Source organism: Homo sapiens, chromosome 5, assembly GCF_000001405.40.
Source record: "Homo sapiens chromosome 5, GRCh38.p14 Primary Assembly".
Classification (NCBI taxonomy): Eukaryota; Metazoa; Chordata; class Mammalia; order Primates; family Hominidae; genus Homo; species Homo sapiens.
The window spans coordinates 112,503,123-112,515,709 of NC_000005.10; the positions used below are offsets into that span (position 1 = coordinate 112,503,123).

The 12,587-nt window shown below is 39.5% G+C and overlaps 1 annotated feature.

Annotated features, from left to right (window-relative positions):
• Positions 498 to 997: an enhancer, noted in NCBI's record as "H3K4me1 hESC enhancer chr5:111839317-111839816 (GRCh37/hg19 assembly coordinates)". NCBI's record gives its function as "activates a minimal SCP1, AML or CMV promoter by ChIP-STARR-seq in naive H9 embryonic stem cells {active_cell/tissue: H9 hESC(naive)}" and the evidence as "EXISTENCE:reporter gene assay evidence [ECO:0000049][PMID:30033119]".

Here is a 12,587-nt window from a genome sequence, read left to right on the forward strand (position 1 = left end):
AGCCCACCTGCACTCCAGTGAAATAAAAAGCCTTGTTGCTCACACAAAGCCTGTTTGGTGGTCTCTTCACACGGACATGCATGATAATCAGTATATCTAAACATGTTCAAATATAGAAAAGGTGCAGTTAAAATTTGGAATAAAAGATTTAAAAAGGGTACACCTGGGAGATTGCTGGCAAGATGGCCAAATACGAGCAGCTCCAGTCTACAACTCCCAGTGAGATCAATAAAGAAGGCAGGTAATTTCTGCATTTCCAACAGAGGTACCTGGTTCATCTCACTGGAACTGGTTAGACAGCGGGTGCAGCCCACAGAGGGCAAGCCAAAGGAGGGAGGGGCATCACCTCACGCGGGAAGCACAAGGGGTCGGGGAGCTCCCTCCCCTAGCCAAGGGAAGCCATGAGGGACTGTGCCATGAGGAACAGTGGACTCCAGCCCAGATACTACGCTTTTCCCACAGTCTTCTCAACTGCAGACCAGGAGATTCCCTTGGATGCCTACATCACCAGGGCCCTGGATTTCAAGCACAAAACTCGGTGGTCATTTGGGCAGACACGAAGCTAGCTGCAAGAGTTTTTTTTTTCACACCACAGTGGCGCCTGGAACACCAGCAAGACAGAACCGTTCACTCCCCTGAAAGGGGCTGAAGCCATTGAGCCAAGTGGTCTAGCTCAGCGGATCCCACCCCGACAGAGCCCAGCAAGCTAAGATCTGTTGACTTGAAATTCTTGCTGCCAGCACAGCAGTCTGAAGTTGACCTGAGATGCTTGAGCTTAGTTGGGGGAGGGGTGTCCACCATTACTGAGACTTGAGTAGCCAGTTTTCCCATCACAGTGTAAACAAAGCCACCAGGAAGTTCAAACTGGGCGGAGCCCACTGCAACTCAGTAAAGCTGATGTAGCTAGACTGCCTCTCTAGATTCCTCCTCTCCGGGCAGGGCATCTCTGAAAAAAAAGGAGCAGCAGCTCCAGTCAGGGACTTATACCCCCATCTCCCTGGAACAGAGCACCTGGGGGAAGGGGTGGCTGTGGGCGCAGCTTCAGCAGACTTAACGTCCCTTCCTGATGGCTCTGAAGAGAGCAGTAGATCTCTCAGCATAAAGTTCCAGCTCTGCTAATGGTCAGACTGCCTCTTCAAGTGGGTCCCTGACCCCCGTGTCTCCTGACGGAAAGACACATCCCAGCAGGGGGCAACAGACACCTCATATAGAAGAGCTCCAGCTGACATCTGGGGGGTGCACCTCTGAGATGAAGCTTCCAGAGGAAGGAACAGGCAGCAATCTTTGCTGTTCTGCAGCCTCTGCTGGTGATACCCAGGCAAACAGGGTCTGGAGTAGACCTCCAGCAAACCTGCAGCAGATGGCCCTGACTGGTAGAAGGAAAACTAACAAACAGAAAGGAGTAACATCAACAACAACAAAAAAGGACGTCCACTCAGAGACCCCATCCAAACATCACTAACATCAAAGACCAAAGGTAGATAAATCCACAAAGACAGGGAGAAACCAGCACAAAAAGGCAGAAATTCCAAAAACCAGAATGCCTCTTCTCTTCCAAAGGATCACAATTCCATACCAGCAAGGGAACAAAACTGGAAGGGGAATGAGTTTGACAAATTGACAGGAGTAGGCTTCAGAAGGTGGGTAATAACAAACTCTTCTGAGCTAAAGGAGCATGTTCTAACCCAATGCAAGGAAGATAAGAACCTTAAGAAAAGGTTAGAGGAATTGCTAACTAGAAAAGCCAATTTAGAGAAGAACATAAATGACCTGATGGAACTGAAAAATACAACACGAGAACTTCATGAAGCATACACGAGTATAAATAGCCAAATCGATCATGCTGAAGAAACAATATCAGAAATTGAATAACAACTTAATGAAATAAAGCATGAAGACAAGAATAGAGAAAAAAGAGTAAAAATGAATGAACAAAGCCTCTAACAAATATGGGACTATGTGAAAAGACCAAATCCACCTATGACTGGTGTACCTGAAAGTGACGGGGAGAATGGAAACAAGTTGGAAAACACGCTTCAGAATATTATCCAGGAGAACTTCTCCAACCTAGCAAGACAGGCCAACATTCAAATTCAGGAAATACTGAGAACACCATTAAGATACTCCTTGAGAAGAGCAAGCCCAAGACACATAATTATCAGATTCACCGAGGTTGAAATGAAGGAAAAAATGTTAAGGGTAGCAAGAGAGAAAGGTTGGGTTACCCACAAAGGGAAGCCGATCAGACTAACAGCAGATCTCTCTGCAGAAACCCTACAAGCCAGAAGACAGTGGGCCAATATTCAACATTCTTAAGGAAAAGAATTTTCAACCCAGAATTTCATGTCCAGCCAAAATAAGTTTCATAAGTGAAGGAGAAATAACATCCTTTAGAGACAAACAAACGCTGAGGAATTTTTGTCACAACCAAACCTGCCTTATAAGAGCTCCTGAAGGAAGCACTAAATATGAAAAGGAACAACCAGTACCAGCCACTGCAAAAACATACCAAAATGTAAAGACCATTGATACTATGAAGAGACTGAGTCAACTAACAGGCAAAATAACCAGCTAGCATCATAATGACAGGATCAAATTCACACATAACAATATTAACCTTAAATATAAACAAGCTAAATACCCCAATTAAAAAACACAGACTGGCAAATTTGATAGAGTCAAGACCCATTGGTGTGCTATGTTCAGTAGACCCATCTCATGTGCAAAGACACAAATAGGCTCAAAATAAAGGGATGGAGGAATATGTACCAAGAAAATGGAAAGCAAAAAAAAGCAGGGGTTGCAATCCTAGTCTCTGATAAAACAGACTTTAAACCAACAAAGATCAAAGAGACAAAGAAGGGCATTATATAATGGTAAAGGGATCAATGCAACAAGAAGAGCACCCAGATTCATAAAGCAAGTTCTTAGAGACCTACAAAGAGACTTAGATTCCAACACAATAATAGTGGGAGATTTTAACACCCCACTGTCAATATCAGAAACATCAACGGGACAGAAAATTAACAAGGATATTCAGGACTTAAACTCAGCTCTGGACCAAGCAGACCTAATAGACGTCTACAGAACTCTCCACCCCAAATCAACAGAATATACCTTCTTCTCAGCACCACATAGCACTTCTAAAATGGACCACATAATTGGAAGTAAAACACTCCTCAGGAAATGCAAAACAACGGAAATCATAACAGTTTCTCAGACCGCAGTGCAATCAAATGAGAATTCAGGATTATGAAACTCACTCAAAACTGCACAACTACATGGAATCTGAACAACCTGCTCATGAAGGATTACTGGCTAAATAACAAAATTAAGGCAGAAAGAAATAAGTTTTTTGAAACCAATGAGAACAAAGACACAACACACCAGAATCTCTGGGACACAGCTAAAGCAGTGTTTAGAGGAAAATTTATAGCACTAAATGCCCACAAGAGAAAGCAAAAAGATCTAAAATTTACACCCTAACATCACAATTAAAAGAACTAGAGAAGCAAGAGGAAACAAATTCAAAAGCTAGCAGAAGATAAGAAATAACAAAGATCAGAGCAGAACTGAAGGAGATAGAGACATGAAAAACCCTTCAAAAAATCAACAAATCCAGGAGCTATTTTTTTAAAGATCAACAAAATAGATAGACAGCTAGACAGATTAATAAAGAAGAAAAGAGAGAGGAGTCAAATCGATGCAATAAAAAATGATGAAGGGGATATCACCACTGATCCCACAGAAATACAAACTACCATCAGAGAATACTGTAAACAGCTCTACACAAATAAGCTGGAAAACCTAGAAGAAATGGATAAATTCCTGGATCCATACGCCCTCCCAAGTCTAAACCAGGAAGAGGTTGAATCCCTGAATAGACCAATAACAAGTTCTGAAATTGAGGCAGTAAATAATAGCTTACCAACAAAAAAAGCCCAGGACCAGATGGATTCACAGCTGAATTCTACCAGAGGTACAAAGAGGAGCTGGTACCATTTCTTCTGAAACTATTCCAAACAATAAAAAAAGAGGAACTCCTCCCTAATTCATTTTATGAGGCCAGGATCATCCTGATACCAAAACCTGGCAGAGGCACAACAAAAAAAGACATTTACAGGCCAATATCCCTGATTAACATCGATGCAAAAATCCTCAGTAAAATACTGGCAAAATGAATTCAGCAGCACATCAAAAAGCTTATCCACCACAATCAATTTGGCTTCATTTCTGAGATGCAAGGCTGGTTCAACATATATAAATCAATAAACATAATCCATCACATAAACAGAACCAAAGACAAAAACCACATGATTATATCAACATAAAAGGCTTTCCACAAAATTCAACACACCTTAATGCTAAAAACTCTCAATAAGCTAGGTGTTGATGGAACATATGTCAAATAATAACAGCTATTTATGAGAAACCCACAGCCAATATCATACTGAATGGGCAAAAACTGGAAGCCTTCCCTTTGAAAACTGGCACAAGACAACGATGCCCTTTCTCACCACTCCTATTCAACACAGTATTGGAAGTTCTGCCCCAGGCAATCAGGCAAGAGAAAGAAATAAAGCGTATTCAAATAGGAAGAGAGGAAGTCAAATTGTCTCTGTTTGCAGATGACATGATTGTATATTTAGAAAACCCCATCGTCTCAGCCCAAAATCTCCTTAAGCTGATAAGCAACTTCAGCAAAGTCTCAGGATACAAAATCAATGTGCAAAAATCGCAAGCATTCTTATACACCAATAATAGACAAACAGAAAGCCAAATCATGAGTGAACTCCCATTCACAATTGCAACAAAGAGAATAAAACACCTAGGAATACAACTTACAAGGGATGTGAAGGACTTCTTCAAGGAGAACTACAAACCCCTGTTCAAGGAAATAACAGAGGACACAAATAAATGGAAAAACATTCCATGCTCATGGATAGGAAGAATCAATACGTGAAAATGGCCGTAATCCCCAAAGTAATTTATAGATTCCATACTATTCCCATCAAGCTACCATTGACTTTCTTCACAGAATTGGAAAAAACTACTTTGAATTTCTTATGGAACCAAAAAAGAGCCTGCATAGCCAAGATAATGCTAAGCAAAAAGAACAAAGCTAGAGTCCTCCCGCTACCTGGCTTCAAACTATACTACAAGGCTACAGCAATCAAAGCAATATGGTACTGGTACCAAAACAGATATATAGATCAATGGAACAGAACAGAGGCCTCAGAAATAACAGCACACATCTACAACCAAGTGATCTTTGACAAATCTGACAGACCCAAACAATGGGGAAAGGATTCCCTATTTAATGGTGTTGGGAAAACTGGCAAGCCATATGCAGAAAACTGAAACTGGACCCCTTCTTTACACCTTATACAAAAATTAACTCAAGATGGATTAAAGACTTAAACATAAGACCTAAAACCATAAAAACCCTAGAAGAAAAGCTAGGCAATACCATTCAAGACATAGGCATGGGCAAAGACTTCATGACGAAAATACCAAAAGCAATGACAACTAAAGCCAAAATTGACAAATGGGATCTAATTAAACTAAGCAGTTTCTGCACAGCAAAAGAAACTATCATCAGAGTGAACAGGCAACATACAGAATGGGAGAAAATTTTGGCAATCTATCCATCTCACAAAGGGCTAATATCCAGAATCTACAAAGAACTTAAACAAATTTACAAAAAAAAAAAAACCCCATCAAAAAGTGGGCAAAGGATATGAACAGACACTTCTTAAAAGAAGACATTTATGCAGCCAACAAGCATATGAAAAAAACCTCATCATCACTGGTCATTAGAGAAATGCAAATCAAACCACAATGAGATATCATCTCACACCAGTTAGAATGGCGATCATTAAAAAGTCAGGAAACAACAGATGCTGGAGAGGATGTGGAGAAATAGGAGTGCTTTTACATTGTTGGTGGGAGTGTATATTAGTTCAATCATTGTGGAAGACAGTGTGGCAATCCAGCAATCCCATTACTAAGTATATATCCAAAGAATTATAAATCAGTCTACTATAAAGACACATGCATGCATATGTTTTTGTGGCATTGTTCACAATAGCAAAGACTTGGAACCAACAGAAATGCCCATCAATGATAGGCTGGATAAAGAAAATATGGCACATATACACCATGGAACACTATGCAGCCATAAAAAAGGATGAGTTCATGTTCTTTGCAAGGACATGGATGAAGCAGGAAACCATCATTCTCAGCAAACTAACACAAGAACAGAAAACCAAACACCACATGTTCTCACTCATAAGTGGGAGTTGAACAATGAGAACACATAGACACAGGGAGGGGAACATCAGACACCAGGGCCTGTCATGGGGTGGGGGACTAGGGGAGGGATAGCATTAGGAGAAATACCTAATGTAGATGACAGGTTGATGGGTGCAGCAAACTACCATGGCACGTGTATACCTATGTAACACACCTGCACGTTCTGCACATGTACCCCAGAACTTAAAGTATAATAATAAATAAATAAATAAAAATGGTATACCTGTATAGTACAATACAGCTTACTCAATTGGAAATTGCTCTGGGTAAGTCAGTGAGTGAGTGATCAGTGAACGTGAAGACCTAGGATATTACACTATTGTAGTCTGTATAAATACTGTACACCTGGGCTATACTAAATTTATTTTTAAAAATTTTCTTACTTTGATAATAAATTAACCTTGGCTTAATGTAATTTTTTACCTTATAAACATTTTGTTTTTTCTATTTTATGGCTTTTTTTGTGAAAACACTTAGCTTAAAACACAAACGCATTTCACAGCTGCACAAAAATATTTTCTTTCTTTATGTCCTTATGCTAAATATATGTATTTTTCTACTAAAACTATTTTTTTCCTTTTACACATTTTTGTTAAAAAGTAAGACATGAATACACACATTAGCCTAGGCCTACACAGGGTCAGGATAATCAATATTACATCTTCCACCTCCACATCTTGTCACACTAGAAGATCTTCAGGGACAATGACATGCATGGAACTGCCATCTCTTATGATAACAATGTCTTCTGAAACATCTCCTGAAGGACCTGCCTGAAGCTCTTCTCGAGGAAGTGTCATTCTTTTCAGAAATATATTTATGGTGGATTTTTTTTTTCCAATCACAGATATGCTTGTAAGCAGATAGTGTACCATGAACATTCCTCTGTATTAATGCAAACCTTTCAGTGTGGGAGTCCATGTGGCATGATCTCAGCTCACTACAACCTCCACCATCCATGCTGAAGTGATCCTCCTGCTTCAGCCTCCTGAGTAGGTAGGACTATGGCATGCACCCTTGGGCCCAGCTATTTTTTTAATTTTTTTGTAGAGATGAGGTCTCACTATATCACCCAGGCTGTTCTTGACCTCCTGAGCTCAAGCAATCCATCCACCGTGACCTCCCAAAGTGCTGGGATTACATGCGTAAGCCACCACCCCTGGCCCCTCAAACATTTTACAGTCTGCAAAAGCTACTGCTAAACACTTCACTGTTAATTTTTGGGGGGATTCACTAGGTGATAGGAATTTTCCAGGTTCATAATAATCTTATGGAACTACTCTTCTATGTATGATCAGTAATTGACTGAATGTCATTATGTGGTGCATGGCTTTACCACATTTTGTTTATGTATTCATCAATTGATGAACATTGGGGTTGTTTCCACTTTTTGGGTACTACGAATAATGCTGCCATTAACATTTACATAAAAGTTTTTGCATTTACGTATGTTTTCAGTCCTCTTGGGCATATACCAAGTAGTGGAATTGTTGGGTTATATGGTAACTATGTTAAACGCTTTTAGGAATTTTCAACTGTTTTCCAAAGCAGCTGCATCATTTTGATTTCCCACCAACAATGTATGAGGGTTCAAATTTCTCCACATTCTCATCAACATTTGTTATTATTTGTCTTTCTTCTTGTGGCCACTCAAGTAGGCATGAAGTGTATCTCATTTTGGTTTTGGTCTGCATTTCCCTAATCACTAATGATGTTGAGCATCTTTTCACGGGTTTATTGGCCAATAGCTGATATAAAGTCTTTGTCTAGTAATTCCAACATCTAGACTTTGTGAAACTAAGGAATTCAAAGTCCAAGTTGTTGGAACTTTAAAATATTTGAGACCTCAGTCACATAAACAGGCAGCTGTAACCTAGAAAGCTGTAACCTGTCTCTCTGATTATAAACTAGTCTCTTTCCTTGCCTTCTTTGTGTTGTAAAATATTATAAATGGCTAAAGGGTACCAAGAAAGACCCCTTCCCTCTTAACCATTGATGTTCATTATAGATTAACTTTCTCCTTTCCTCTTTCACATGACTTCATGGCTATTACCTTGTCTGGGATAAAATTTTAAATATAGTCTTAAAATAGACAGGAAATGAAAATAATTTATAAAGAAAACAAACTGAAAAGAAAAGAAAAATTGTAACTAAATTGTTATAACTCATAAACCAGCCCTGTATTAAATAATGTTATAATCCTACTGAATGTCTTTGTTTTCTGTGTAATATATAAGCAAGACCTTAACTTATAACTTTGGAATGCTGACCCCATTTCTCTGAAGTCTGTTTCCTGGATGGCATTCTCAACTTTTCACTTGAGCAAAGCTTTTTAAGTTGGATTCCAATTCTTCCAATTATTTCAGGTTGACAGCACCCTCAGATTAGGGTTAGGGTTAGGGACAGATCCTATGGAATGCATCCTCCACCCTCAACTCCCATTCATGGACCTACTTTCTTGTTTCTTTGCATGTCTTGTAATTTTTTATAGAAAACTGGACATTTAAATAAAATATTGTGGCAATTCTGGAAGTTGGATTCTCCTCTCTTCCCAGGGCTTGCTGCTATTGCTATTTGTTTGTTTAGTGACTTTTCTCAAATCCTTTGGTTAAGTCTGTATTCTTTGGCATGTGTGGCCACTGAAGTCTCTGCTCTGTTGGGTTAGTGGTCAGATAATGATTAACAGAGATTTCCCTAATGCCTGGGATTAATAGGCCTCCCAGTCTTTGCCAAGGGCCCCATGTGTGTTGGCACATGCCTTCAACACTCAGCCAGGTAGTTTAAAACTCTGTCTTAGCCTTCATTTCTTGTTTGCACAGATTTTCAAGATCATCTAAAGGTGACAGCTTAGGGCTCTCTAAGGTATTTTCTGAGTATGCAGAGTCCTGTGTATACTTAGTGCTAAGCATGTGCATTACCTTCCAGATTCCTAGGCATATAACAGAACTTTTCAAAATCCCCATGGACATCTTATTCCATATCTTTTCATTGTAAGCTTTTAGTTTTTCTATTGTTTATCCCAATAGTTATCCACCACCTCTGGCAGCCACAAAATTAAATGATTGCCTCTAATTGTTCTGACAAATCTGGAAAAATGGCTTTTTCCACTAGATGAGCTCCATGTTGAATCACATCAAATAAAGAAAAACTTGCAGGTGGGGTCCTCCAGGGAGCAATTAGGCAGGTTAAATAATGTCATTTCTATGGTAATGAGTCTCTGAAAGAGATCTGAGCCTATTTAGTTTCTTCTGGTGGTTACCGGGAGTAGGCGGGGGCTGCTGCTTTTCAGCCATGGTTGAGGCTGTTGGTTTTCAAGCCTACCACCCAGCTAGAGAGGAAGGATATAAACAGGGCAAAGTTAAAATGCTACAAATTTCACTGTTTTTACTGAGATTCAGCCATCTTTCTTGAATAAACACATTCCAGATTACTGAAAGCCTTTGATTAATTTCTAGAGTTCTGAAAAAGTTGACTGAAAATTTTTTCCTGTTTTTATGAAGAATTTTTGGAGATCATTACTCTGCCATTCTCTCTGACATTTCTCCTCTGTAGCTTATTTAAGGCCACATATTTTGCCACTCAAATGGTTGTGTCTTTATCATATTTTTGCACAGTTAACTTCTACTGATCCTTAAGGCTCAACCAAAAGGTCACTTCCTTGAGCAATAAAACACTTTCTGCAAATTAAATTCAGTGCAGAAGCTCATTAAATGAATCAAATGCTATTCCAGCTGTTTTTGTTCAATGAGTGAATACGGAGAACTTGATCCATGCCAGATTGTTATGAACCTTTCCCACTCTTCCCCATCTCCTCCCAACAGTAGCCCTTGAAGCAGGGCCTCTGAGCGCCTGAGGCTCTGCAGATTATAGCAAGAAACTCTGAGCTAGGAGAATGCTTGGTGAGAATTTTAAAAAGCAATATATTCAAGCAATAGGCAGTCAGTTGGGCTGGATAGCATTTATTCTAACCATTCTAACCAGAAATTATATCTTTTCCTGACTAGAGAGGAGAATTACTCTGATGATTTACCAGCAAAGCCATAATGCTTTTTAGAAAATTATAGAACATACGTACATTATTAATACAGCCCCCGTCCCCAAAAGTAGCCACTTCATATTAGAAACATAAATACAAGCAACTTTTCTTAATCGATTGTGAAGATTATTGTGGAGAAATACTGCCTGAAGGAATTTTGAAGACCATTGGCACAGGTATGTTGATACTACTACTGTTTTGGATCACATCTTGGTTTTTCAAATTTAAATAATTTGAAAGAATCAAGCTGAACATCCCCTGGGATATATGAACCCTACTTTGGAGACCACAACATTAAATTTGTTTTAAAAGAAGTAGTCTGCAATGTTAACTCTAGGTGAATGTATAGCATTTTCAATGTCCAGAATTAAGAAAGTCGGGCATTAATTGATTTTATATAACTTATTGAAGTGGCCTCATTGTCTGGGGTGACACCTGAGGTTTGTTGTTTCATGGCCACAGAGATCAAGGGCACCAGACACACAAAGAGTGAGGTTAAGAGTGGAAATTTAATAGGCAAAAGAAAGAGAATAGCTCTCTGCCACAGAGAGGGGTCCCAGAAAAATGGGTTGCCAATCTGTGGTGAAATGCAGGGAATTTCATAGATGAGCTAGTGGGGAGGTGGTGTCTGATCTACATAGGGTGTGAAGAACTGGTTAGGACCAGCTGTGCCATCTGCATAGGGCGCAAATCTCTGGCAGCCTCCACCACAATCTTTTATTATGCAGGTGGGTTTTCTGCCTGAGCTTCTCCATGTTTCCCATTTCTTTCTGAGCACGTGCTAACAAAAAAGGGAAGATGGAGCTTCCATGGTGGATATGCCTAGCCCCAGGTAGCCCTTTTCTGTTGGTGCAGCTGCCAGTATTCCTCTGTGCAAGCTTCCAGCTTCCTTATCTATGTTTGCAGCTTGATCTTTCAGGCTGCTCTTTGTTAAAAAAGAAATGATTTCTAGAACTGCTTTTTGTTAGAAGGAGTTCTCCCAAGGACTCTTTTGCCCTCACTATCTGCCTAAATAATTTCTTTGTATTTCCTGTATCATTATATATAACATAACATTTATAGACTAGCATAACATGTTGTGGAGAGAAAAAAATCATCAGCAAAGTAGTACCAATAAGTAATTGTTGATTATGGTAATATCACTATTTCAAACAATTTTTTTCATACACTGCTCAAAGGAACAAAAAATGTAGACTTATGGGATTAATATAAAAGATATTCATTTATGCCTAGAGTCTAAAGCAAAGCAAAGCAAAATTGAGGTTGACCAATTATCCTGTGAAGTTTATCACTGAAGAAATCTACCCTAGGTAACTCAAGAAATAATTAAATCCTTTCTTCCTAATAGTAGATATTTTTGTCTGAATAACTCAGACAACTGCATCAATATTTCAATCAGCATTATCCATAGAATCACTTGATTTATTTTTTTCATTACTAAAGAAATTTTTGAAAGTTTAATTTTATCCATATCATCACCAATATTTGGTGTTAAGTTTCAGCCATATTAATGGATGGTGCTAACTCAGTTTTAATTTGCATTTATAAGACGGCTAATGATACTGAGTGCCATTTCACCCATTTATTGGCTATATGTTTACCTTTTGTGAAAATTCTAAGTCCTTTGTCCAGTTTTTTTCCCATAAGTTATTGGGGTGCAGGTGGCATTTGGCTGCATGAGTAAATTCTTTAGTGGTGATTGGTGAGATTTTGGTGCACCTATCACCTGAGCAGTATACACTGCACCATATTTGTAGTCTTCTATCCCTCGCCCCCCTCCCACTCTTCCTCACAAGTCCCCAAAGTCTACTTCATCATTCTTCTTTTTTTTTTTTTTTTTTTTTGAGACAGAGTCTCACTCTGTCGCCCAGTCTGGAGTGCAGTGGCGCGATCTCTGCTTACTGCAAGCTCTGCCTCCTGGGTTCATGACACTCTCCTGCCTCAGCCTCCTGAGTAGCTGGGACTACAGGCACCCGCCACCACGCCTGGCTAATTTTTTGTATTTTTAGTAGAGACGGGGTTTCACCATGTTAGCCAGCATGGTCTCGATCTCCTGACTTCGTGATCCACCCGTCTCAGCCTCCCAAAGTGTTGGGATTACAGGCGTGAGCCACCGCGCCTGGCCTATTGCATCATTCTTATGCCTTTGCATCCTCATAGCTTAGCTCCCACATGTCAGTGAGAATATATGATGATTGGTTTTCCGTTCCTGAGTTACTTCACCTAGAATAACAGT